Below are 26,117 nucleotides of genomic sequence, written 5' to 3' on the forward strand. Positions count from 1 at the left end.
ATCAGCACCTGAGGAGGGGACACAAGCAGGAGTGAACAACAGGAAAAATCAACATGCAATGCAAGCCTAACAATGGCCTTGGCTCCTTGCAAAACTCAGGAGCTAGAATGGCCCTTCAGAGTTCTCCCAAGCTGTCCAGGCCTTCATGGTTCTGGATTGATCTGTCATTGAATGTGACCCACCCTGGTGAGCCACCCATCGGCAGCTGAGGCAATCCCTGAAGGGAATAGTAACTGCAGGCTGCCTGCCTGCCTGCCTGCTGGGAATGAGGCGCTATGTCTCCATTGAAGGTGAATCTGGGCAGCACCCACCACAACCCATCCTTTGCCAAGATGGTAACTCTTTCCCTTGCCTGCGGGTTCTTTGCACAAGGAGTTCAAGTGTTCAGGTGGCAATTACTGTTTATTCTGGCTCTGTCTGTTGGCAAAGGTGCTTCCTCTTTGGGACCCAGGACCTATAAACCTGAAGAACACAGAGTTGTGGGTACAGGAAGCACAAACTCCCCAAGTGAGTTAATGGGTGTGACAGCAAGGAAGACAATCCTGCTTCCATCCCTTGGTTCCTAGGTGTGTGGATATTTTCCAACTTTTGGGTAAATATAATTTTATATGTATATATATATATGTTAGTAAAGCATCAAATAAATATCTTAAAGTGTTTTTTGCATCCTGGAGAATGATTGCTGCCCCATCCTTACAAATGATCACATCTAAGCTGGTACCTTAGTTGTGCTTCGTACAGACCTTTTCAACACTTTATTAGGCAATTTTTTTTCTTTCTAATTTTTATTTTAGGTTCAAGGGGTACATGTGCAGGTTTGTTACATGGGTAAATTGCTTGTCAAAGGAGTTTGGTGTACAGATAATTTTGTCACCCAAGTAATCAGCATAATGTCTCTATTGGTCTATTTTCATACTGCTATAAAGAATGTCTGAGACTGGGTAATTTATAAAGAAAAGAGATTTAATTAACTCACAGTTCCAAATGGCTGGGAAGGCCTCAGGAAACATAATCATGGTGGAAGGTGAAGGGGAAGCAAGCACGTCTTACATGGCAGCAGGAGGGGGCGGACTGCCAAACACTTTTAAACCATTAGCTCTCATGAGAACTCCCTCATTATCATGAGGACAGCATGGGGAAAATGACTGCCATAATCCAATCACCCCCAACCAGGTCCCTCCCTACACACATGAGCATTACAATTAGAGATGAGATTTGGGTGGGAACACAAAGACAAACCATATCAATATCCAATAGTTTTCAGTCCTTGCCCTCCTCCAACCCTCCACCCTCCAGTAGGCCCCAGTGTCTGTTGTTCCCATGCTTATGTCCATTGGTGCTCAATGTTTAGCTCCCACTTATGAGGACATGCATTGGGTGTTTGGTTTCCTGTTCTTCTGTTAATTTGCTTAGGATAATGGCCTCCAGCTCCAACCATGTTTCTGCAAAGGACATGATTTTGTTCTTTTTATGGCTATGTAGTATTTCATGGAGTATATGTACCACATTTTCTTTATCCAATCCACCACTGATGGGCACCTAGGTTGATTCCATGTCGTTGCTATTGTGAATAGTGCTGCAATAAACATGTGTGTGCATGTTAGACTAGCAACTTTGGATGGTACGTATATGACATGACAAGGTAATCTTGACATTGATTCCATGTCATTGCTATTGCGAATAGTGCTGCAATGAACATGTGTGTGCATGTTAGACTAGCAACTTTGGATGGTACGTATATGACATGACAAGTTAATCTTATGGCCATGGACCCAATCCCATAACTTCCTTTGCTTTAAAGTGGGTCTCCTGGACCAATGTGACACTATATGGGATCCTATCCCAGTGTATCAAGCCCTCTGTAATCGCGCGAATGGTGGCTGTCACTGAAGCTTAATGGGAAATAAAGTCCCATACATGAAATAAGAACCCCGCTCCCACAGGAATGAGTCACTGGTCCTTCCAGGGTGGAGGACCCCAGTGTAATCAACTTGCCAACATGTATCCAGGTGGTCCTCTTGAGGGATGGTGCCATATCAGAAATTCAACATGGGTCCTTGTTACTGGCATTTTGGACAGGCAATAGCAGCAACAGCTAGATTGGCCTTGGTAAGCCAGAGCCTGTGCTGTTGGGCCCATGCAAGTAGCCATCCCTGCCACCATAGCTACTTTGCTCATGTACTTTGCTATCATGCCATCATTGGGGTTGCTGATGATACAGGGTGGCTAGCATCAGCTGACTAAGTCAGTTTGTCTACGTGATCATTTAGTGCCACTATTACGCTGAAAGCTCTCTGTTGGACATTAATACACAATACACAGATCTTCATACTTTGTGCCTGCTCCAAAATGCCCAGCCTCATGACTCTGCCTTGAAGCTCCCAGGTGCAATCTACTCTGGCTACTTCTAGGCCCTGACCAGACAACGGAGCCATTCACCATTCAGCCTATGGCATCATATGGATATTCTAACCTTGAGCAACTTCTCTTCCCATACACAGTGGATGACCAGGATGGTCTGAGCTTTGCCCCTTGGAAGAATGTTCCCTCATCACTGTCTTTCAAGGCAATCCTTGAGAGGAACCATGGTGCAGCCACCATCTGTTTTCAGCCTGCACCCTCATGCAAGTCTAACCTTTCTGTGAACCAAGCTCAGGCCATTTTGTCTTCCATCAGTTGGTCACAAGGGATCCCCTCTACAGCAGGAGGAGCTATCTGAGGAAAAGGTGCTGACATAACAGTGGAGGGTGACATGTGGATCTGGACTACCTGCTCATGCAAATTCCCTGTGCCATCCAGTCCTCCTCATACTGGATCCCAGGTGGACCCTTTCTACCTTCTGATAGTTTGTTTCCAGGCTTGACTAGCATTAGGAGTTGCTGAGTCTGACAGATGAGCTCCTGATGGGCAGCTATGGCCACATGTTCACCTTGTGTCCCATGATCGGGTGTGTCATCTCTACCAAGGCCCATAAGACAATCAGAAGTTGTTTTTCAAATGGTGTATAATTTTCCCTAAGCAGATGCCATGGCCTTGACCCAGAATCCTAGTGATTCTCTCACTGGAGCTTGCCATAAACTCCACATGGTGTGTTTTCAAAGTGCTGGGATATACCTCTACTACCAATGGGTCTGCTGAGTTTTATAGCCCAAATGGCAGGGCTGCTCACACCTGTAGACAGAACCTGTTATAGAGTTCTTTCTTGTTCTAGGTCCCATTCAAATCTGGCAGCCTTTCAAGTCACCTGGGTCAGCGCAGTATAGGTATACATTTTGTTGCTTCCAGAATCCAGAGAAACAGAGAACCTACCAGCCATTGTGCTTCCTTGTTTTTTGTTGTTGTTATTGTTATGTGTTTGTTTTGTGAGACAAAGTCTCACTCTGTCGCCTGGGATGGAGTGCAATGGCATGATCTTGGCTCTTGGCTCACTGCAACCTCCACCTCCCTAGTTCAAGTGATTGTCCCGCCTCAGCCTCCGGAATAGCTGGGATTAGAGGCATGTGCCACCACGCCCAGCTAATTGTGATTCCTTTTTCACAGCAGGAGATGCAATGTGCAATCATTTCTTCTTTAGTTTGGAGGCAATGTTGTAATATTTCCTTGACCACTGAACTCTTAAAAATGTTTACTGATGCAGCAGACTCCTGAATTTTCATAGGCTTTGTCTCCCTAACTCTGGCTCACATATGACTTACCAAGGCCTCCAACACGCTACATATCTTGCTTATCTGGTCCTATTAGCGTATTCGCTATGGAACGGATCATTGTGATTTTCTGTTGGATGTCAACATGGGACAGATTACTTTGGACCACATTATGACAGAGGGCAGGAAAGTTAACAGAGCCTTGGGGAAATCTATGAATGTATCCTGTTGTTTGTTCCATGTAAATGTAAACTATTTCTGATCATTTCTGATAGGTATGGAAGAGAACACATTTGCTAAATCAATGCTGCATATCATGAATTGAGGCCATGTTAATCAACTCCAGCAAAGACATCACAGTTGCATGGCAGCTGCGATCAGGGTTATGACGTGGTTGAGTTTGTGGTGCTCACTGTTATTTTTCAGGATACATCTGGTTTTAGCAGGGGCTACACTGGTAAATTAAATGGATCTCTGACAGAAACCACCACCCCTGCAACATCTGTTAGGTTTGTAAGAGTGGGGCTAATGCTTCCCATCTCCTTCCCCCTGAAATAATACTGTTTTTATTGTCTTGGCAGGAGCAGGGTGAGGGGCATTTTCAGAGTCTTCTCTTGGCTCCCCTCACTATGACAGTTTTTACTCTACAGTCTAAGGGCTCAGCAAGGAACTTGCACCAACTACCAAGTGCCTTTATTCTGATTTTACATTTGGAGGTTAGGAAAATAACCAATTTACTGGGCTTAATGCATTATCATGGCCTTACTATATGACTGGGGGTACAATGGGACTAAGTAATAAATGGAGCCCTGTTCAAAACCACCCACCCAGTTTCTAGGTCCCATTCAAATCTGACAACCTTTCAAATCACCTGATAAATGCGTAATGCTTTAAGCCAAGTAAATTGGTTATTTTCCCAAACCCTGAATGTATAATCAAAATAGATGCACTTTGGACTAATATAGACCAAAGTAATCGGTCCTATGTTGACATCCAGCAAAAAATCACAATGATCTATTCCATAGCAAATACGATAATAGGACCCGATAAGCAAGACATATGTAGCATGTTGGAGACCTTGGTGAGATATATGTGGTCTAGAGTTTGGGAGATAAACCCTATGAAGATTCAGGGGTCTACTACATCAGTAAACCTTTTAGGAGTTCAGCCGTCAAGGGCATGTCAAAACATTGCATTTAAATTAAAGGAGAAATAATCGCATTTTGTATCTCCCACCATGAAAAAGGAAGCACAATGTCTGGTAGGCTTTTTGGATTCTAGAAGAAAAAAAAAAAATTGTATACCTGGGAATTTTGCTATGACCCAGGTGACTTGAAAGGCTGCCAGACTTGAATGGGACTTAGAACCTGGGTGGGTGGTTTTGACCAGGACTCCATTTATTACCTAGTTCCATTGTACCTCCAGTTGTATAGTAAGGCCATGATAATGCTTTAAGTCTTCAAGTATTAATGTCCCCTGACACTGCTTGAAATGTTTGCCTACTTCCCTTTTTCTGGAATGTAGTTACCCAAGTATATGGCTAAAGTTCTCTTTGAGGAAGAACTGGATGCTCGTAACAATCAACACTTGCCATAGTGCTCCAGGGTCCTCCAGGGTCCTTCCTCTTGAGTATATATATGGTGTGGTATATATATAAATGGTGTGTGTGTATGTGTGTGTGTGTGTGTGTGTGTGTGTATATATATATGGTGTGTGTATATATATATATATGGTGTGTGTATATATATATATATGGTGTGTATATATATATGGTGTGTGTATATATATATGGTGTGTGTGTGTGTGTATATATATATATATATATATATATATATATATATATATATATATATGAACTAGTATATTTTTGCATGGGGAACCCTTCCACTGAAGGGTTAAAATAAAAAATATTTTTATATTGGGTTATGGTCCAGTATAAAAAATATACTGGACCATATATTTTTTATGCTGGACCATAACCCTTGGACTGAAGGGTTCCAGTTCCAAAAAATAGCTCAGATCCAAAAACCGGGCACAGTATTTGGTCATTTTATTGTGGCAATTCCTCAGCCTCCTTAATCAATCATTCTTGATTTCTTTAGAAATCAAGAAAAACTGAGTAGTAGTAATTGAGTAATACCTGTGTTGGCTGCCTTTAAGGACAATCTTGCTCTATCAACCATCTCCATATCTCTCTGTAGGACAGGCCAACCTGGCTGCCCTGCCACCATGGCTACTCATTAAGATAATTGCATCTTCTTGGCTTCTGGTGTTTAAGCATCACCATCTGGACTCTATTGTTTTGAGGAATCCTAACATCCCCATTACTCTCAGTGAGCCTTATTCTGCAGCGCCTCTCCTAAAGTCTGCCCTGGCCTGCTGAGGCATGCCACCACCAAACTCCTCAGTGACACTGGTGCCTTTGCCACCAGGGCATTCCTGGTGGCTTTGGGAAATTGGGAGCCTTCTGGGTCATTCCATGGGACATCATTCTCTGGAGGGTTTATCTGTCTTACATGGTACATGCTCTCAGCATGTCCCCCTCTCTAAATTGTTAAATATTTTCTATTCTCACTTTTGCAAAAATACTCACATTTTAACCTTAGTGTGAACTATTCTTTTTTTTTTTCTCCTGGGGTCTTTCTCAGGCAGACACATATTTTCCATGCCTGGGAGAGTGCTCCAGTATTGAAAAAAAGGTCTCCCTTACCCAACCTTCTCATTTAATCTGGTTCTCTTGACAACCCCTTTCCGAATGCAAGCCCTGCCATTCTCCTCTAGCTTATGTGGGTACACACTGCCTAGGGTGGGGGTACATTGTCCCATTCTCCCTCTATCAGGCCAGCATATTCCCCAGCTGAGTTACTTATGCAAGAGCTCACCAAAATGAGTAGCAAAGCCCAGGGAAGAATCCAGTTCACCTGCATTCCTCGATCTTCCTGGTATATCATTGTGCCCTGCAAAAAAATATGCCCTAACCCTATGCATTTGGCATGCCTCTGTTGGTCTGGAAGACAACAGTGGTAATCATATTCACCAAAAAATATAGTTAATTCTTCAACGTTCCATCTTCTACGTAAATATAAAAGTGCTCCTGGGTATCTCTAAGGACATAGCTGAACTCATCCAAAAGGCTTTCAAACCTTATTTCAGAATACTGTTTTTAAAGCATTATTCTCCTCCCACCTACATTTCAAATCAAACCATGCTTACTTTGACAAGGATGCTGTTTTTCCTTCAAAGAGCCACTCCCCAAAATGTACTTAGAAAGAAGGAAAGAACATCACTGTTGAGTTGTAACACCAGCTTCCCTGGAGAGGATCCCAGAAAAATGCACGGATTTTCAGCCTTTATGTAAAAGCCCAGGACTTCCCAATCCTCAGTATGTGAAATATCTCAAACAATTAGTTTGTGAAAGTGCTGTCATGTGTAAGCGAACAAAAGCCCTAGACATAAGAATGTGCTCATCCTTCTTTCACCCCTGGAGCCTTTGTTGAGCATGTAGTATGCACAGACCCCACATCAGGGACTGTGGGAAAACAGGAGTGATGCAGCCCTGTGATCCAGCAGGAAAAGAGGGGGTTGTTGGGTCACATTCCTGAATCTGAATCCCTGCCAAGACTCTCTGAATTGCATCTGACAATGTCCAAGCCTTGGTTAATTCTTCTGTAAAATGGAGATGCTTGCCTCAAGGGGTCCTTGTAAGGAGCCAATTAGATCATAAATACAAAGGTACTTTCTAAGTAGTGAAGCACTTTCTGTAGGTTAACACTGGCTACTGAAAGAAAACCCAGGTTGTGCTTCCAAATAAATGCCTATCTAGAAGAGAAAGTAAGACATTGAACAATTAAGGAAAATGTACTATAAAAAGTGAGCCAGGATAATGGCTTCCAGCTCCATCCATGTCCCTGCAAAGAACATGATCTCGTTTCCTTTTTATGGCTGCATAGTATTCCATGGTGTATATGTACCACATTTTCTTTATCCAGTCTATCACTGATGGACATTTGGGTTGATTCCATGTCTTTGCTATTGTGAATAGTGCTGTGATGAACTTACATGTGCATGTATCTTTAAAATTGAATGATTTATATTCCTTTGAGTATATACTCAGTAATGGGATTGCTGGAAACAGAAAACCAAACACTGCATGTTCTCATCTATAAGCGGGAGCTGAACAATGAGAACACATAGACACAGGGAGGGAAACAACACACACTGGGGCCTGTCAGGGAAGGGGTGGGGCAGGAGGAGGGAGAGCATCAGGATAAATAGCTAATGCATGCTGGGCTTAATACGTAGGTGATAAGTTGATAGGTGTAGCAAACCACCATGGTACACATTTACCTATGTAACAAACCTGCACTTCCTGCACATGTATCCCGGAACTTAAAATTAAATCAAATTAAAAAATGTTTTAAAGTGAAACAGGACCCAAAGAGAACAAACAGAAGAGCTCTAACTTTGCCCAGAACAAAGGGGGAAGATGTTATGTTAAAGGGGCCCTGCAGCATGATCAGTATTTACATACTGATCATGTTACATACATAACAGGCTGTGGGATGTGGGGATAGGACTCAAAAGCTGGGTTTGGCAGGTTTAAGGATGCTATGAAGTTTGGATGTTAATTTGTCTTTCCCAAACTTCTGTCATTTAGACACTATCCCATTATCTTTGCCAAACCCATGCATTTCCTATCATGTTATCAACTTAATAGCTCCCTTTCAATTTTTACATGAACACACTTGTGCTCATTGCCATATCACAGCAGTAATATCTGTCAATGTACATGTTTAATGTGCTAGGTGAACACTTTTCTAATACACATGAAAATTAATTTAAAAAAAATTTTTTTGAGATGAGACCTCGCTCTGTCACTCAGGCTGGAGTGCAGTGTTACCTCGACTCACTGCAACCTCCACCTGCCAGGTTCAAGCAATTCTCCTGTCTCAGCCTCCTGAGTAGCTGGGATTACAGGCATCCGCCACCACGCCCAGCTAATTTTTGTATTTTTAGTACAGACAGGGTTTCACCATATTGGCCAGGCTGGTCTCGAACTCCTGACCTCAAGTGATCCACCCGCCTCAGCCTCCCAAAGTGCTGGGATTACAGGCGTGAGCCATCGCGCCTGGCCAAAAATTAACTTATAACTATAAAGTGTTCCTTTGTATCCCACTGAAAATCCTATTGTGTTCATCCATGGTAAATGGGCCCCACAGGGCAAGGGGAGCCACTGGGAAGGGTTTGGAGGGAAAGAATGATGTAATTAGCATGTTCTCTTTTCTGGTAGCCCATGTAAAAAATACCAGTTAGGAAGTTATTTCGATTGCACCCAGGTGTCTTTTCCTGACCTGGGGACAGAGGAGTGGGGATGAGAAGGAGAAGTGAACTCTATAGGGACACTCAGGGCTGGTTCCCTAGAAGGGAAGTGTGGGGCCAAGGAGATAGGAAGGAGTCCAGAATTTTGAAACCCAGATGCAGAAAGCCCTTGAAGCTCAGGAACTTCCCTCAGTTTTCACTGATTAACTGAAAAGCGGAAGTTAACATAAATTAAACCTGGAGTAAACATAAACTCTGGGTCACTTCTTTGGAAAATGAAAGTAAATGCATAAAGTTATTTACATCTTTATGTTTAAAAACTATCTAAGGGAAATTGGCTTCTGAAACACCATGTGTTTTCACTCATCAAAGACCTATTTAGGGACATGACCACATCCGGAAAGCATTTGTAAAGCATTAAGATATTACCGAAAAATGGGTTAAGAACAGGACAAACAAGTTACAAAAGGAGAGCTACAACTTGCCAAGAAAATATGAAGAAATACTAAGGCTCACCAAAAAAAAACTCTTGTCAAATAAAGCAACGTGTTACTATTTTCAACGATCAAATGAGCAACTTTTATGACTGTGTTAGTTATTAGGGCCTTCACCAGCTATTTCCAGCTCTCCCTTAAGGACTCACAAAGGACTCCGCCTCCTGGCTCTGTCTGGGTGGATGGGGCCACGTGATTCGTTTTAGACAATGAAGTCTGAGCGGAAGTGACATTTGTCACTTCTGGGCTAGATGGCTTAGTTGCCAGTTGGAGATGCCCCAGAGCTTTCTTTCCTCCTGCAACAGTGACCAAGCAACATTCCAGATGGTGGCTGCTCAAGCAGGGGTCCCAAGGTGATGGACGCCTGGAGCAAAGCCCAGCTGATGCAGGATGGACATGGAGTTTGAGTGGAGGGTGAACTTGGGATGTCACAAGCCACTAAAAATGGGGGTCGTTAATAACCCTACCAACGGATTCAATGGCAGGGGTCAATGCTGGCAAGGGGAAAATACAACAGGAATGGAATGCACATTCCTCTAACTCATGTTAAAAATGGTTACCCCCTTTGACCCAAAAATTCCACTTATGGGGATCAATCCAAAAATGTAAAAATGCAAACAAAATATGGAAAAAGCTTTATGGTGAAGGGATAGACTAATGACCAAAAGCATGGCCTTTAAGGCTGGGCACGGTGGCTCATGCCTGTAATCCCAGGACTTTGGGAGGCCGAGGTGGGCAGATCACCTGAGGTCGGGAGTTCAAGACCAGCCTGGCCAATGTGGCAAAACCCTGTCTCTACCAAAAATACAAAAATTAGCCAGGCATGATGGCAGGTGCCTGTGATCCCAGCTACTCGGGAGGCTGAGGTAGGAGAATCGCTTGAACCCGTGAGGCGGAGGTTGCAGTGAGCTGAGATCGCGCCATTGCACTCCAGCCTGGGCGACCGAGCAAGGCTCCATCTCAAAAACAAACAAACACGCAAACAAACAAAAAAGCATGGCCTTTGTCAAACTGCTATCCATTTGAATTCTGGAATTGCCCCTTACCACCTATGTAGGTGATTCGTAGCCTTGGGTGATTTGTTTAACTGTCTAAACCTTAGTTTCTTTATCTGTAAGATGGGGGAGATATTTCTTTACCTCATAGTGTTACTGTAAGAATAAATTAGATGCTGTATGTACAAACCTTAATGAGGCTAGCTGTGTGACTAGTATCACACACACACACACACACACACACACACACACACTAACACATCTCAATGTTACTTTCTTAGTCCAACAAGAGAAAACTTGGATGCAACCCAGTAAGCCACAAAAAGGACTAATAAGGGATAGTAAACCCACGAGATGGAAAATGTTTATGTGATAATACTAATTTTAAAATCATAAGACAAAATTGATTACACAATATAATCACAATTATGGAAAAATAATGAATAGAAACATAATGAGCAGAAATATATCAAGATCATAATGAGTTGTGTTTGAAACATAAAATTATTGTTTTTTTTCTACTTCTCTGTTTTCCAAATTTCTTAAAGTGAGGCACATGTGTGGACCCTGAAAGGAGACTTCTCTAGTTTTGAAGCCTAGGCCTCCCACCTCTCAGCTGTGTGACCCTGGGCAACTTACATAAGTTCTCTGGACAGGGTTCCCCACTTGCGAAATGGAAATCACAATGTTGTTTCAGTAATGAATTAGATAATCCCTGTAAAGTTATAAGTATAACGCCTGGAACAGAGTAAGCAGTCAATAATTATTATCTATTTTTGTTGCCATTATCATTGTATGTTCCTTTTGTAATGTGGGAAAGAACGGTATTTCACAATCTATGATAAAGCTTTTAATAACAGAAGGTTGTCTGTAGCAAATACAATGCTCTTCACTTGGGAAGTTCACAGTCCAGGAAAGATAACAAGGCAAAAGACAAGCAGTTCAGGGCTACAGAGAAAAGCAGAAAGCACTCACCCCCAGGTCGGGACAAAAGAGATGGCCTAAATGCTGTCCCAAGAAAGGCACTTGGCTTGGAGCCTCCACATCCCCAAGGTCAGGGCCATCTTGTCGGGACGCATGCAGAACTCTCTCACTGACAGCTGCCCCTGCAGCAGCTGGCTCACCCCCATGATAGATGAGAATTACAGCCATTTTCAAGAGACCAACAGAAGGTGGGCCGTGTCCTGATAAGCTATAACAACAGTAGTAAAGTTCTAAGGAGACCAGAGGGTCCCCACAACCACACACTTCCTGCAGCTGTGGCTGCTGTAATTATGGCCGTGACAGCTGGGCAGCCGGGGGACATGACTGGAGTAGACTAAGGCATGGGCATATGGCACTGCTGGTGGGCAAGGCCAGCCCACCCCTCCCTCAACCAGTGCCCAAGTTCAGCTGCATCCTCGAGCCTGACTGTCAGGATGCCATGAAATAGGTCCCCAGCGCACCCAGTGGGCAGGTGCAAGAGAAGGAAGAGCTGGAGTGCATCTTTCTGGTGCCCAGGCTTTACTGGTGCCCAGGGCCAGACACACAGTGGGCGCTCCACCCTTGCCAGCACTGTCTGGAATGGCAGAAACACATTCCAGAGCTCAATGCTGCTGGCAATGTGTTTGAACTCCCCAGCCTTCCACGGGAGGCCCATGCTAACAGAACACCCTCTAGTCACTCCTCCGAGGACTTGTTGGCTGGTTCCTCCTCTCTGAAAACCACCCGGAATCATCTGTCCTCAGACAGAATTAATCAGTCACCTCTCCTCTCCTATGGCTGAGTCTTCAGTGCACATCTATCTAAGACCATCCCTTGAATCCATAACCACATATCTGTCTCCCCTCTAAGCTTCTTCCAAAGAGAGGCTGTGTCCTTCTCATTTTATGTTCAATCATTAAAGAACGATTCATGATTAATGAATCATTTGTTCAATAAATAGAGCATGAACCATACAAGATAGACACGCCATCCTGGGACCAAGAGTCCAACTAAATAAGAAATTACAAAGTAAAACTTTGGGATTATAATAGACCATGTTAAGGTGCATTACATGTGGCAATGAGACCTAATCAAGTCTTAAGAAACCAAGGAAGTCTTCCTGCAGGAAGCCTGAATAGGTGTTAAAGAAGTTCATGAAAATTAATTGTGGAGAGGGGGTGATGATGGAGGAAGACCCAGAGAGCTGCAGGAGAGACAAGCCTGGGTGAACTGTGGGGGCCTTTGCAGGACTGTTAAAGGCCATAGGAAGTCACATTGATGGCTTTAAGCCAGGAAATGGCATGATCGGGTCTGCAATTTATAAAGAGCAGTCTGGTTTTCTTTGGAGGGGAAAAAATGGGGCAAAGTAGCAATAACAGGCTAGGTGTGTCGCATCTTAGCACAAGGCCTGGAACATAATCACTACCTTCTGTTTGTTGGCCTGAACTAAAGGAGGTGGAAACAGAATGGACAGGTGCCCAGGTGGCACATTTCAGGGTTTTACTCACCCTATTATCCAACATGCATCAGGTCAACCCCACAGGCCCCTGTCTTGGGAGCCTCAACCCCACCCTGAACAGCCTTTGAAGATAATCCATTTCCTTCAAATATCTCCGTGTGCACCTTCCTTGCCCTCTAAGATAGCAACACCTACCTGCAGACGTGAATGTGCTGAGCTCCACACCCTCCATCCAGAAGGGGATCACCGGGATGGCAGGGAAGGAGTGCTGCCAGGAAGTTTTCCAACTCCAGTTTCTAGGTCTGTATTTAATTCCGGATCTATCAGCTAAGCATTTAGGGTGCTGCCACTGAAGCTCTGTGTTTACACAGCTAAATGCCTCTGCTCCTATTGACACAATGTCGATGAAGAGGGATGCGTCAGGCTCCGCCACCACCAAGCACGTCATGTGTCCCAGATTGATGAAGCTTCCTGACCCACTCCAGCCCCAGCAGCTGCATGGCTCCTGCCACTCAGCCCAGCAAGCTGTTCTCCATCATCTCCATTAATTAAGGACTGTCATAGCAGGGAGGTGAGACAGCAAATCCTAAATACTTGCCTCAAGTCTCAGCTTCCAAATTCCCAGGAGTCTTACCCTGAAAACAGAAAAGTCAGATTTAACAGTGGGGTTTTTATCTTTCCGTTTACAAAATTACTACCAGCTCATTATAGCAAATGCTAAGAAATGCACAAACACAAACATACCCAGAAGAAAATAATAATCACTCATGATCCCCCCATTCAGAGGTAAATGCTGATAGCTTTTAAATTCTTACATATATTTCTTCCATGCATATATACACATGTTTAATCCTGATATTCAGGGACTAAGTTCATGTCAGTAAATTGTTTCCTACAACATTATTGTTAATCGCTACGTAGTTTTCTGCCTTGTGACTGTCCTGTACTTCAACCAATCTTCTATTGCACTCAATGTCGTGCTATTATAATCAATACAGTAATGAACATCCTGGAAATAAATCCTTAGAGAAGAGTTCATTAGACTTCATTAGAATAAATATATGATGGAAAAATAACCTACCAAAAGAAATTTGCTTTTTTAATACTTTGGCTGTGCATTGTAAAATCAATCACACTTTAGAAATGTATCAATTTATTCCTCCACCAACAGAATAACCCCTACAACACAACTGCATATGCAACTAACATAGCAACAGCAACTGTATAGTAATCCTGATCACTATCCTGTTACAAAGAGTTAATGCTTACCTAGAACTCTCTATGCTCCTGGTACTGAGCAAAATACATTAAATATATTGTTCCTTTTCATGTTAGCTTTTTACTTTCTAGTGAGGGTGAACTTTTTTCCCTTACATTCATTGGCCACTGTGATTCTTTGTTATAAAATTTCCTGCAATTTTCTTGGCCTATTTTTTAGTGTGTTTGTCATTTAATTATTGGTTTGAAAGCAGTCTGATTTAATAAGGATGCTATACACTTGTGTTGCAAAAATGCTTTCCCCCAGGTTGTGGTTTAACATTTAGTTTTGTTTATGATCATGTTGACATAAAGAATTTTGTCATTTTGGAGTAGTCAAATGTGTTGGTCTCTTATTTTACAGATTACGCCTTTACATACACTCTGAGTACTTGCATACCACAACATCAGATAAATATTCATGTGTTTTCCTTAAAATCTTTCTATGGCTTCAAATTTTATATTAAATATTTTATCAATCTGAAATTTGTTAGTGTACGTGGTGCTGTAAAGATCTATTTTTTTTCCACACGGTCAGCAAATTGACCTAATTTGACTTACTGAATTCCTCATCTTTTCCCCACTGATTTGAAATGCCACATTTATCTTATATGAAATTCATATTTACATGGGCCTGCTTCAGCTCTCCTCGTACTGTTCCATTGATTTATCTGTCTATTCCTGCAATTAAACCAGACTATTTAAATATATACGAAGCTACAAGGACGTCACTGCACATTGCTTACCCAGTAGTGCAAGTTCCTCCTCACCCTTCTACTTTTTCAAAACATTCTCAGCAATTCTAAAGTGCCAGATGAATGTCAGAATCATTTTATAAAGCACCACCCCTCCAAAGTCCCACTGATATTTTCATTTGGATCCCATTAAACGTCTAGATCATGTAGAGCGAATCGGTAACTTTATGTTATTTTAATTTTAATTCAATAACATGGCATATTTTAAATTCATATTCCTTATTTTAATTTCATCACATTTCTACATATTTCTTGTAAACTTTTCCCTAGATATTTTATTGTTTTGTTGCTAATGTAAATGGCACTTTAAAAATCATCATACCATTGGTGTAAAGAAAAACTAACTTTTTACTTATGTGATTATGTTGACAAAACTTTATCTTTAAACTTGCTTGATAGTGTAGTAATTTTTCAGTTTGTTCCCTTGAGTTCTCCAGGTAGACAATTCTCCTTCATCCAAGTGTCAGTAACCGTATAATCAACTACTTTCAAACAGTAAATCCTCTATTTTGTAGTCTTGGTTTATTCAATTGGTCAGAATTTTTAAACTGTGTTAAATATGGCATGGATAGTAAGAATTCTGTCATATGTAAATAGAAACGCCTCTAGTTTTCCATTCTAAAATATAATTAAGCTGTTGACTTGGGGGTGAGAGCCTCTTTCTTGATAAAGAAGGTTCAATTTCTATCATACTAATATTGTTTTAGATTTTGTTTCTTGGGAATGAGTGTTGAATTTTATTATAAGCCATTTCAGTAGGAGATGTGTTTAAATCTTCTCTCTTGACATACTAATATATTTAAATATATTATTATACTTATAATTAGCATTATTATATTATAATTAGTATTATAATTAGTATTATAATTAGTATTATTATATTATGATTACAATTAGTTTTATATTATAATTAGTATATTATCAAATATACCAATATATTTAAACATATTGGTACATTTCCTAATATTAAATTATTCTTGAATTACTTAATGGAAAAAAACTGAACCAGAAGATATTGTTCTTTTATTCCACTGTCAGATAGTTTTCACGTATTATTTAGCATTTTCACAATTTCACATAGTATTCACATTTTCACATAGTATTTTCACAGTTTCCTTTTTTGAACTATCTTCGTCCAGCTTTAATATTAGAGTCACCACTTCATAAAATGAATTAACTAGTGTTTTTGATGCAGGTCAGGTGAGCCCCAAAGTGAGACTTAGCCTGCGAGGGTTCTTGGCTTTGCCCAGAAAAGAATTCAAGGGCAAGCCGGTGCTAGGGTAGAAGAAAGCAACTTTACTGAAGCAGCGGTGTTAGAGCTCCGTGACTGCCCCTGCAGAGCAGGGCTTCCCCACAGGCAGTATGCTGAGAGCAGCAGCTCAGGACAGTTCCGCAGTCAGATTTCTATCTACTCTTAATTACAGATAGAGTAAGGGGCAGTTAATGAGGAAATTTCTAGGAAAAGGGTAGTAGCTTTTGGGTAATTGGATCATTGCCACGGAAAGAGGTAGTAATTCCTGGTGTTGCCATGGCAATGGTAAACTGACATGGTGCACTAGTGGGAGTGTCTTATGGAAAGATGCTTCCACATTTCCTCTGTTTTAGCTAGTCCTCAATTTGGTCCAGTGTCCAAGCCCCACCTATGGAGCTGAGTCTCACCTCCTACCTTATTTTTAGGGGTATCTATGCTCCGAAACTATTTGTATAAAAAAATACATTTCCCATAAAAGCATCTGTGGTTTCTTTTGTTGTTGTGGAAAGTAAACTTTTGATAACTTTGAACAGTTCTCTCTTAGTTACTTATTTGTTCGAGAGTTTCATAGTCTTGAGTTTCCTTAAAATTTTCTAATATTTATTGTAAAAATAATATTAAAATGGGATTTGATTATTTACTCTCATTTTTCTTATAATTTTATGTTTGAGGGGAATTTTATCCTCATTTCCTGGATAAATATATTAGAAATTTACTTATATTTTAAAGACACAGAACTTAGATTTATTTGTTGATCCTATTTATTTTTGTTTTGAAAATAATTTATTTCATTGTGGTTAATTTAATTTTTTTTTTTTTTAGAAAGAGTCTCACTCTGTCATCCAGGCTGAAGTGCAGTGGCACGATCTCCACTCACTGCAAACTCCTCCTCCCAGGTTCAAGCAATTCTGCTTCAGCCTCCCAAGCTGGGTATAAAGGCATGCACCACCATGTCAGGCTAATTTTTGTATTTTTAGTAGAGATGGGGTTTTGCCATGTTGGCCAGTCTGGTCTCGAACTCCTGACCTCAGGTGATCTGCCCACCTCGGCCTCCCAAAGTGCTGGGATTACAGATGTGAGCAACCGCGCCCAGCCAGTTAATTTAAGGACAAAGGATTCATAACGTAGCAGTGTTGACTTGTGGTCTGTCCTTATCTTCCTCAATATATACATATATACAAAAGCTTTTACATACATAACATATAGTATTATATATATATATATGTTTATGTACATATATATCATACATGTGAAAGGTCTTAAATTTGAAATGCGTTAAATATTGTGTATTAAATGTTTAATACATATTAAGGCTTACACATTAAAGCTTTTAACTTTTTAATTCCTTTCCCTTTCTTTTGTACTCTTTATTTGCAATTTCCTTCCTGGTATTTATTTACATAATTGCGTTTATCACCTAATTCCTTTACATTTACACTTTTAGATTGAATAATGGAAGTAGACTATGAATTTTCCTATGTTCAGCTTTGACAGCATCCTATGAGTTTTGCTTCTTCGTGCCTCTTTGTCAGTATTTTCCATTGTTTACTATGATTGTGATCCACAGTCACAAAAAAAGTTAGAAAGAGAAGTTTTAAACCATCAAAATTATATCACCAACATTTTCTATTTTAATTATTTGTTTTTCTAGATAAACTTATGAATGTATGTTGTTCATAAATTCAGTGTAGAAATACATAGACAAAATTAGTAGATCATAAAATAATGATCACATAAATAATGATTTCTATGGCAAATGACACCATGAACCAAGTTTTAAAAACAACAAATTATGAAATTTTACAACCTATGACAAAGATATTTCATTTCAATCAATAAGAAAAAATAACTAAATCTGCAAAAATATACACAGAATATAAACAGACCACTGGTCAATATCACTAAACCTGTGCTTTTAAACACAAAATAAAGGAAACGGAGGACTAACGATGATTCAATGCAACTTGTTCATGCCCTTCCTCCATTTTTGAAATTGCGTTGTCAATTTTTTGGGGGTTTTTTTTGGAGGCAAGGTCTTGCTGTATTGCCCAGGCTGGAGTGCAGTGGCACCATCAGGGCTCACTGCAGCCTCAACCTCCCAGACTCAAGCAATCCTCCTGCCTCAGCCTCCTGAGTACAGGAGACTACAGGCACACACCACCACACCAGGCTAATTGTTTTAAATTTTAGTGGAGATAAGGTCTTACTATGTTAACCAGCTTGCCTTGAACTCCTGAGCTCAAGCGGTCCTCCCACCTCCCAAAGTGCTGGGATCTCAGGCATGAGCCACTGCACCCAGTCATGTTGTCTTTTTACTTATTGATTAAAAAAAACTTTATTTGTGATATTAATGCTTTATTGTTTATTTTGAAAAGTCTTTTTCATGATTTGTCATTTACATTTTAATATTAAGAACAATTTGCTATGTATTTCTTAAAAAATTAGTCAAATCTGCGGGTCTCACCTGTAGCAAACACATACTGAGTGTTTAATATTAATACTTATGTACTAAGCCCACAAGATTTAGCTCAGCATAGGTTTCACTCAATTACTGTAGCCAAAGACACTCAAACTCCAGCAGCTTCTCGAAAATTCTGTTTGTTCATTAACGCACATTGACTCTAATGTGGAGTCAAGCAAATAAGTCTTTTTAATAAGAATCATCACAATTCATCAGTCATTATTTACTTAGAGTTTCAAAATCAATTTTGCAATTTCTATCACATATATTAAGCACATGCCATCAATTTTTTAAAAATTTTTTCTTTTCGTGTCATCAATTTTTATCTTAAAACAATACATAGTAGTGTCATAAGAATTACATGTTCTTCTGAGGACAGGCCTCTTAAAAAAAAAACTGCCTATCCCTCTTAAATGTTATATTTAAATCCGAAGAATGCAAGGATATGATTGTTGGATTTATTAAGTGCAGTACTTGAAAAATATGAAATTTCCAATCACACTTAAAATGAAGTATGTGAATAAATAAAATGTGTTAATTTGTATTAACATTTTTAGGTCTGCGGAAATGGCATTGAATATGTTACACCTGCTATAGCTAGGACACCAAGTTTCTTATACACTCAGCTCATTTACATCTTTCCAAAACAATAGCTAACATTGAGCTTAATGGCAAAAAAATCAAAACATTTGTAATAAAATGAGTAAGAAAACATAGGTGTCATCTTTCACTACCATTATTTAACATTTCACAAAATGTTAAAAGCTTCTCCTAATTTTTTCTGTAAAATAGATATAGATGTATCTTTCCCTAACTTGATTAACAAATATTCCTCTCTCAAATTGACAGCACCAGGTGAGGCACTAAAGAAATTCTTTAAAATCGGTAATATAATAAGTATGTGCTCAATCTTTGCATTCAATTTCATGGATCTCATTGTGTATTTAAGGAGAAAGTACCACATTAGTTTGATTCTAGTTGCTTAATAATATACTTTGTTAAATATCTCAATATAATACATTTACTTCCCTCCACTCCCATCCTCATTACTCTTTATTCAGAGCATTAGTTCTACTCTTCCACTTTTACTTTTCCAGATAAACTTTAAGATTATTTTATCAATTTCAAAAAGTCAGTAAGGAGAGAAGAGATTGAGAATGGAAGGGATTGCATCAGGGTGTTTTGGTTTGTTTTGTTTTGTTTTTGAGGTGGAGTCTCACTCTGTCGCCCATGCTGGGGTGCAGTGGCACAATCTCGGCTCACTGCAACCTCCACCTCCCAGGTTCAAGCAATTCTCCTGCCTCAGCCCCCAGAGCTGGAACTACAGGCATGCGCCACCACGCCCAGCTAATTTTTTTATTTTTAGTAGAGATGGGGTTTCGCCATGTTGACCAGGCTGGTCTTGAACTCCTGACCTCAGGTGATCCACCCACCTTGGCCTCCCAAAGTTGCATCAGGGTTTTGACTGGCGTTGCATTCACGTTGGAAGTAACTTAGGGGAGTTGCAGTCCCTTGCCTCCTTGCCTAGCACAACATCCTCATTGTTCTCCAGGCTCTTCCCCTAGTTGGTCTTTCCTTGTAGTCTCTATCAATACATGATGTTATTTACAGGAAAGAGGTCCCGATCCAGACCCCCTGGAGAAGGTTCTTGGATCTCACACAAGAAAGAATTAGGGTGAGTCCATATAGTAAAGTGAAAGCAAGTTTATCAAGAAAGTAAAGGAATAAAGAATGGCTACTCCATACACAGAGTAGCCCTGAGGGCTGCTTGTTGCCCATTTTTATGGTTATTTCTTGATGATATGCTAAATAAGGAGTGGGTTATTCATGCTTCCCCTTTTTAGACCATATAGGGTAACCTCCTGACGTTGCCATGGCATTTGTAAACTGTCATAGTGCTGGTGGGAGTGTAGCAGTGAGGACCAGGTCACTCTTGTGGCCATCTTGGTTTTGGTGGGTTTTAGCCGGTTTCCTTACTGCAACCTGTTTTATTAGCGAAGTCTTTATGACCTGTATCTTGTGCCGACCTCGTATCTCATCCTGTGACTTAGAATGCCTTAACCATCTGGGAATGTAGTCCAGTAGGTTTCAGCCTCATTTTACCCAGCTCCTATTCGAGATGGAGTTGCTCTGGTCCACATGCCTCTGACAATTACATTATACACTTGTTGGTTTTTTTCTATGCCACTTGCCATGTCCGCAGCTGAAACACAAACTCCAGGAGAGCAGGACTCTCTCCAACTCACTCCTGTATCTCCAGTGCCACAGACGAAGTCTGTACCCACCAATATTTTGCAATCAAGGGCTGAGGCTCATAGTTTTTCAGTTTTCTTAGGCTTTTCAGCTACGTAATCATATCATCGACAAATAGTGATGTATGCCTCTTGCTTTTCAATATATATTCTTACGTCACTTTCCTATCTAATGACATTGCCTCACAATTCCAGAATTCTGTTAAATAAAAGCAATGATTAAGCACATACTTGTAATATTGATTTGAAAGGATTTCTTTTTATGTCTTTTATATTTTTAAATTTATTTTATTTTATTTTTATGAGACAGAGTCTCACTCTGTCACCCAGGCTGGAGTGCAGTGGCACAATCTCAGCTCACTGCAACCTCTGCCTTCTGGGTCCCAGAGATTCTCCTGCCTCAGCCTCCCGCGTGGCTGGGGTTACAGGCATGCACCATCACAACCAGCTAATTTTTGTACTTTTTAGTAGAGACGGGGTTTCACCATGTTGGCCAGGCTGGTCTCAAACTCTTGACCTCAGGTGATCAGCCAGCCTTGGCCACCCAAAGTGCTGGGAGTACAGGTGTGAGCCACCACACCTGGCCTAAAGGATTTCTTTAGTGTCTCACCTGGTGCTGTCTGTCATTTGAGATACAAATCTTTGTTAATCAAGTTAGAGAAAGATACTTCTATATCTATTTTACTGTGAAAATTCAGGAAAAGCTTTTAAAATTTTGTTAAATGTTAAATAATTATAGTAATAGAAGACACCTGTGTCTTCTTATTCACTTTACTGTAAATGTTTTGATTTTTTGCCATTAAGCCTAATGGTAGGTATTGTTTTTGAAAGATTTATTTATGTTCTTTGTGTTATGAGAATTCTCTTGAGAGAATTATCTTGATTTTTCATAGATGTGCTTTGAAAGTTTAAAAGAAGGAGAATGCCTACGCCTACAGCTATATGAGAGTGGCTCTTTCGCAAACGTTTACCATGGTATTTGTCTATTTAGCTTTTCTCCTTCTTTAATCAAGATTAATCTGTATCTTTGCTTATAAAATTATCCATTACATCCACGTGTTCAAAGTTTTTACATCAGAATTTTACAAATAGTCTATTCTGTCTTTCAATTCTCTGTGGTTCTTTTACTTTCTTTTACTATTAAAAAGCATACTTTTTAATAGTATGCTTTTATATTTTTAGGTTTTATAGTTTATTTATTTTACCATAGTTTAATCTGGCTCTTATTTTTATTTTATTTATTTATTTGGTTCCCAGTTCATCACATTTCAGCTTTTATCACTACTTGGGTCTAATGTGTTGCTTTTTAGTCCCCCTTTTGAGTTGAATTCTTAATTAAGTAATTCTTAATTCTGAATTACTTAATTTCATGTCTTTTTTGTTTTGTTTGACTCTTAAAGGGTAAAGAATACGAATTTTTCCTCTCGATACTGTACTGAGTACAAGATACTCTATAATTGCAGTTTTGTTTTAATCTTCAGCCTAAAGGTTTAGTTTTGTTCTGATTTTTGAACACTAGTGTTATTGTTTTAATGGATAAATGGTTAGAATAACAAAAGGGCATTTTCTATTGTTATCAGATACTATTCCTAAATTGGTCAATGAATATAACTTGTAGTGTATTTAGTTTTTGAATCTACTAACAGTTTGATGGCCTAATTTGTATTCTGTGAGAAGGATGTGGACTCCCCTGTAGAGGTCCATGCATTGGTGTGGGGCCAGTGGCTAGACTTCTTTGGTCAGCTTGGTGAGTCAAGGGCTAAGAGATGCACTAGGCACCATGGTTATAGCTGTAGAGTTTGTCATTTCTCCTTTGTCCTTTATCAAAGTTAGTATTTTGTAATTTTGTTCATAACCACCCAAGACAGTTGCTCCTTTGTTTTGAATTGTTATTTACACCACTCTGAGATGCTCTTAGACCTGTTTACTTTTTACATGTTAATGTAACAACTGTTATATAGTGCTAGCTATGCCAGGTGATATAGTTTGGATGTGTCCCCACCCAAATCTCATCTGGAATTGTAGTTCCCATAATCCCCACGTTTCATGGGAGGGACCTGGTGGGAGGTAATTGAATCATGGGGGCAGTTACCCTCATGCTGTTCTTATGATAGTGTGTGAGTTATCATGAGATCTGATGGTTTTATAAGGGGCTTTTCCCCCTTTTGCTAGGCACTTCTCCTTGCTGCTGCCATGTGAAGAACGACATGTTTGCTTCCTCTTCCTCCATTATTGTAAGTTTCCTGAGGCCTTTCCAACCATACTGATCTCTTTCTTTTATAAATTACCTGGTCTTGGGTATGTGTTTAGTAGCAGCATGAGAATGGTCTAATACACCAGGCATCTTATAAATATTAAGTCATTTAATCCCTGCAACAACCAATGAGCTAGGTATTATTATTCTCATTATACAGGTTAGGAACTAAGATACAGAGACATTCAGTTACAAGCTCTAGGCACCATAAAGAGAGGGTCAGAAGTGTTCTTCATCCCAAGTTCCAGATTTTCTGTTCTTTTTAAAATTATTTGTATTGAGATAGAATTCACTTATAAAATGTGCCACTTTAAATATAATATAATTCAGTGAGTTACAGTATATTCACTGTGTTGTGTAGCCATCACTACTAACTAATTCCAGAACATTTCCATTACCCATAAAAGAAATCTTGTACCATCAGCAAAATACTGACCTCACCCCCACATCCCTCACCCCCTATCAATCACTCATTTGCTTTCTCTCTATATAGATTTGTCTATTCTGGACATTTCATATAAATGGAATCACATGACTGTGGCCTTTTGTGCCTGGCTTCTTTCATCTACCGTAATGCTTTCAGGCTCATCCACATTTTAGCAAGTTTCACTACTTTACTCCTCGCTATAGCTGAGTAATATTCCATTGTATGGATATACCACATTTTATTTATCCACTCATCAGCTCACGGATATTTGGATTGTTTCCACTTTGGGGCTAATATGAATAATACCTTTATGAACATTCATATACCCATTTTTGGGTGAACATATGTTTTCAGTTCTCTTGGATATGCACTTTGGAGTAAAATTGCTGGGTCATATGGTAAGACTATGTTTAACTTTTTGAGGAACTGCCAAACTGTTTTCCAGAGTGGCTGCACTATTTTATATTTCCACCAGCAATGTATGTGGCAGAATCTGTGCTGTCAAGGGCTGTAATGTATTACTAATCAGCATTTAACTTGAATTTAACTCGTTCAGATATTATTGTGTTTACCCCCACTTTATTTCTGCTTGTATTTGTATGACATCTCCAAACTTTTACCTTCAGACTGGGTCATTCATAGTTAAATATCTCTCTTTAATACAACACCTGCAAAACTTGTGGGTTTTGGACAAGTATAAGATTATTTAACTATTAAATCAAGATTTGTTGCTACAGCAGATATATTTACTCTTACTTTGCTGTATTTATTTTATGCTTTCTCTTTTTAATGTTTTCTTCCTCTTTATTTTTTTCTCTTTTGCTCTATATGAGGTCTGTTTTATTTTTTTCCCATCTGGTAATTTGGACGTAGTACAGTTAGATTATATTTCTGGTGGTGGCTATGTTTTAACTTTATGTAAAATCTTTAAACATGTATTATCAATTATCAGTTTCAGATATGAAGCAAGATGTTTTAGTATTTTCTACAAAAGATGAAGATTCTGCATACTATCATTATATCTGGCGCCATCCTCATCGCACACTGTTCTCTAAATTGCTATGCTCTGATATTTCTGACCCTACTAATTTTAGCTATATTATAATTATTTCTATATTGTGCAGCTTTTCTCCCTAGAATAAGAATATTTTGATGCTGTCTTGTAATGTTAATTATCGGTGCTATTTGGCTCGGTTCTATGATCAGTCCTTTCATAAAACAGCCTCTTCTTTTGTGGATCTTTTGGTTTGCTAAAATAAAAAAGCAAATGGGTGATACATCCTCTGAGTCCTCGCATGTTGGAGACTTGTTCCTACAGCTTTTACTAAAGACAAACAAGTGGACTGAATATAGTATTCTCAGATCACATGTTTTTCCATCACAAATTTTCTTGACCTATTTTCTCAGACTTTCTGGGATCTGATGTTGCTGAGGAAATTCTGACCAAACCAGGATTTTAAATTTTCTTTGTGATTTGTTTTTCAGACCTGGGTGTTTGTTGGCTTCATCCTTGAATTTTAATAATTTTCACCAGGCATTATTGCATATATTATTCAGAACACAGTAAGCCCAGTCATTTTTGTCAATTTAGTTTTTCCTGCATTTCAGGATGATTTTTGTTGTATAACTGCATGCTATTTTGGTTTCCACTTGTTGTATGCTCTAGGTCGGTCAGCCCACGTGTTGCTATGGCGAGCATGCCCCAGTAGCCTTCCATATATGCCTTCCTTTCTCTCGTGGTTGTTATTTATTTTTCATTTTCCTTTGCATCTTCCAAGATTGTCTAAAGCCTGTTCATACTCCCAGCCCCTGACTCAGGTTTCTGCAGTATTAATTATCTTCTTTGCTACTTCTATTTTGTACATTCTGCACTGGTGTTATTTTTCCCTCAGTTTCTTTCCTCAAACCTGGCAAATGTCTTTTCTTCTCAGTCTGTTCTTTGATCAAGCTTCCTGTACACTTGCAGCTGACCAGCAGAATAATACTGGATAAACATCTCAAAATGGAACTAACATATATACCCTCTGCTTTTTTATTCCCTTCCCCATGTCTTACAATTATGGCATGTTATGTTGGTTTTTCCATTGGTTACCTTTTAAAGCTTAAGTAATGTACTACTACTTTTATTCCTGTTTCATCTGTGTTTGATGGTGGCTTCTAATCCCCCACTGTGTGAAGTCAGGACATCTGTGTCCTTACTCCTCCTTGTACACCTTCCCCCGACACATTTTGATCCTCCAGTCAAGTCTTCCACACATCCTTCTTAGGGTGACTCTAAAACATGAAAACCATGAATCAGTATTATCACAATGAAACTATTCAGTGCAGGCCAAAAAATGTACCAGAATTCTACCTTCTTCTCGGAAACTCAATGCCATAGACCCTGGAGATTCAGAGAAGAATATTCCTAGCTCAAAAATGAAGTGGAATCTAATTTTTTGCATCAAGTGTTTAAAATAACAGAGCAATTTTGTTGGCTTCCTATTCAATATATGACATTCTTGCAGTCTTTTTGTTTTTGTTGTTTTATTTCTGTTTTGTTTTTCTCCTGGAGTTTATAATTGCATTTTTTGGGGGGGTGCTTT

The 26,117-nt window shown here is 39.6% G+C and overlaps 1 long non-coding RNA gene across 24 annotated transcripts in view; it reads right to left on the reverse strand.

Annotated features, from left to right (window-relative positions):
- Positions 1 to 26,117, reverse strand: part of LINC01837 (long intergenic non-protein coding RNA 1837) — a 234,720-nt gene that overhangs the window by 59,725 nt on the left and 148,878 nt on the right. For 20 of the 24 annotated variants that reach the window (XR_007067222.1, XR_007067219.1, XR_007067217.1 and 17 more), the window contains 2 exons: positions 25,625 to 25,806; positions 13,070 to 13,509 (listed from right to left, as the gene is read on the reverse strand). This is a non-coding gene — a long non-coding RNA (long intergenic non-protein coding RNA 1837). Of the gene's footprint in view, positions 1 to 342; positions 463 to 11,132; positions 11,191 to 11,228; positions 11,401 to 13,069; positions 13,510 to 25,624; positions 25,807 to 26,117 lie in introns of those variants that run through there. The other 4 variants (XR_001753919.2, XR_001753920.2, XR_001753918.2 and 1 more) reach the window with 4 other exon arrangements.

The sequence above is a fragment of the Homo sapiens genome, chromosome 19 (genome assembly GCF_000001405.40).
Source record: "Homo sapiens chromosome 19, GRCh38.p14 Primary Assembly".
Classification (NCBI taxonomy): Eukaryota; Metazoa; Chordata; class Mammalia; order Primates; family Hominidae; genus Homo; species Homo sapiens.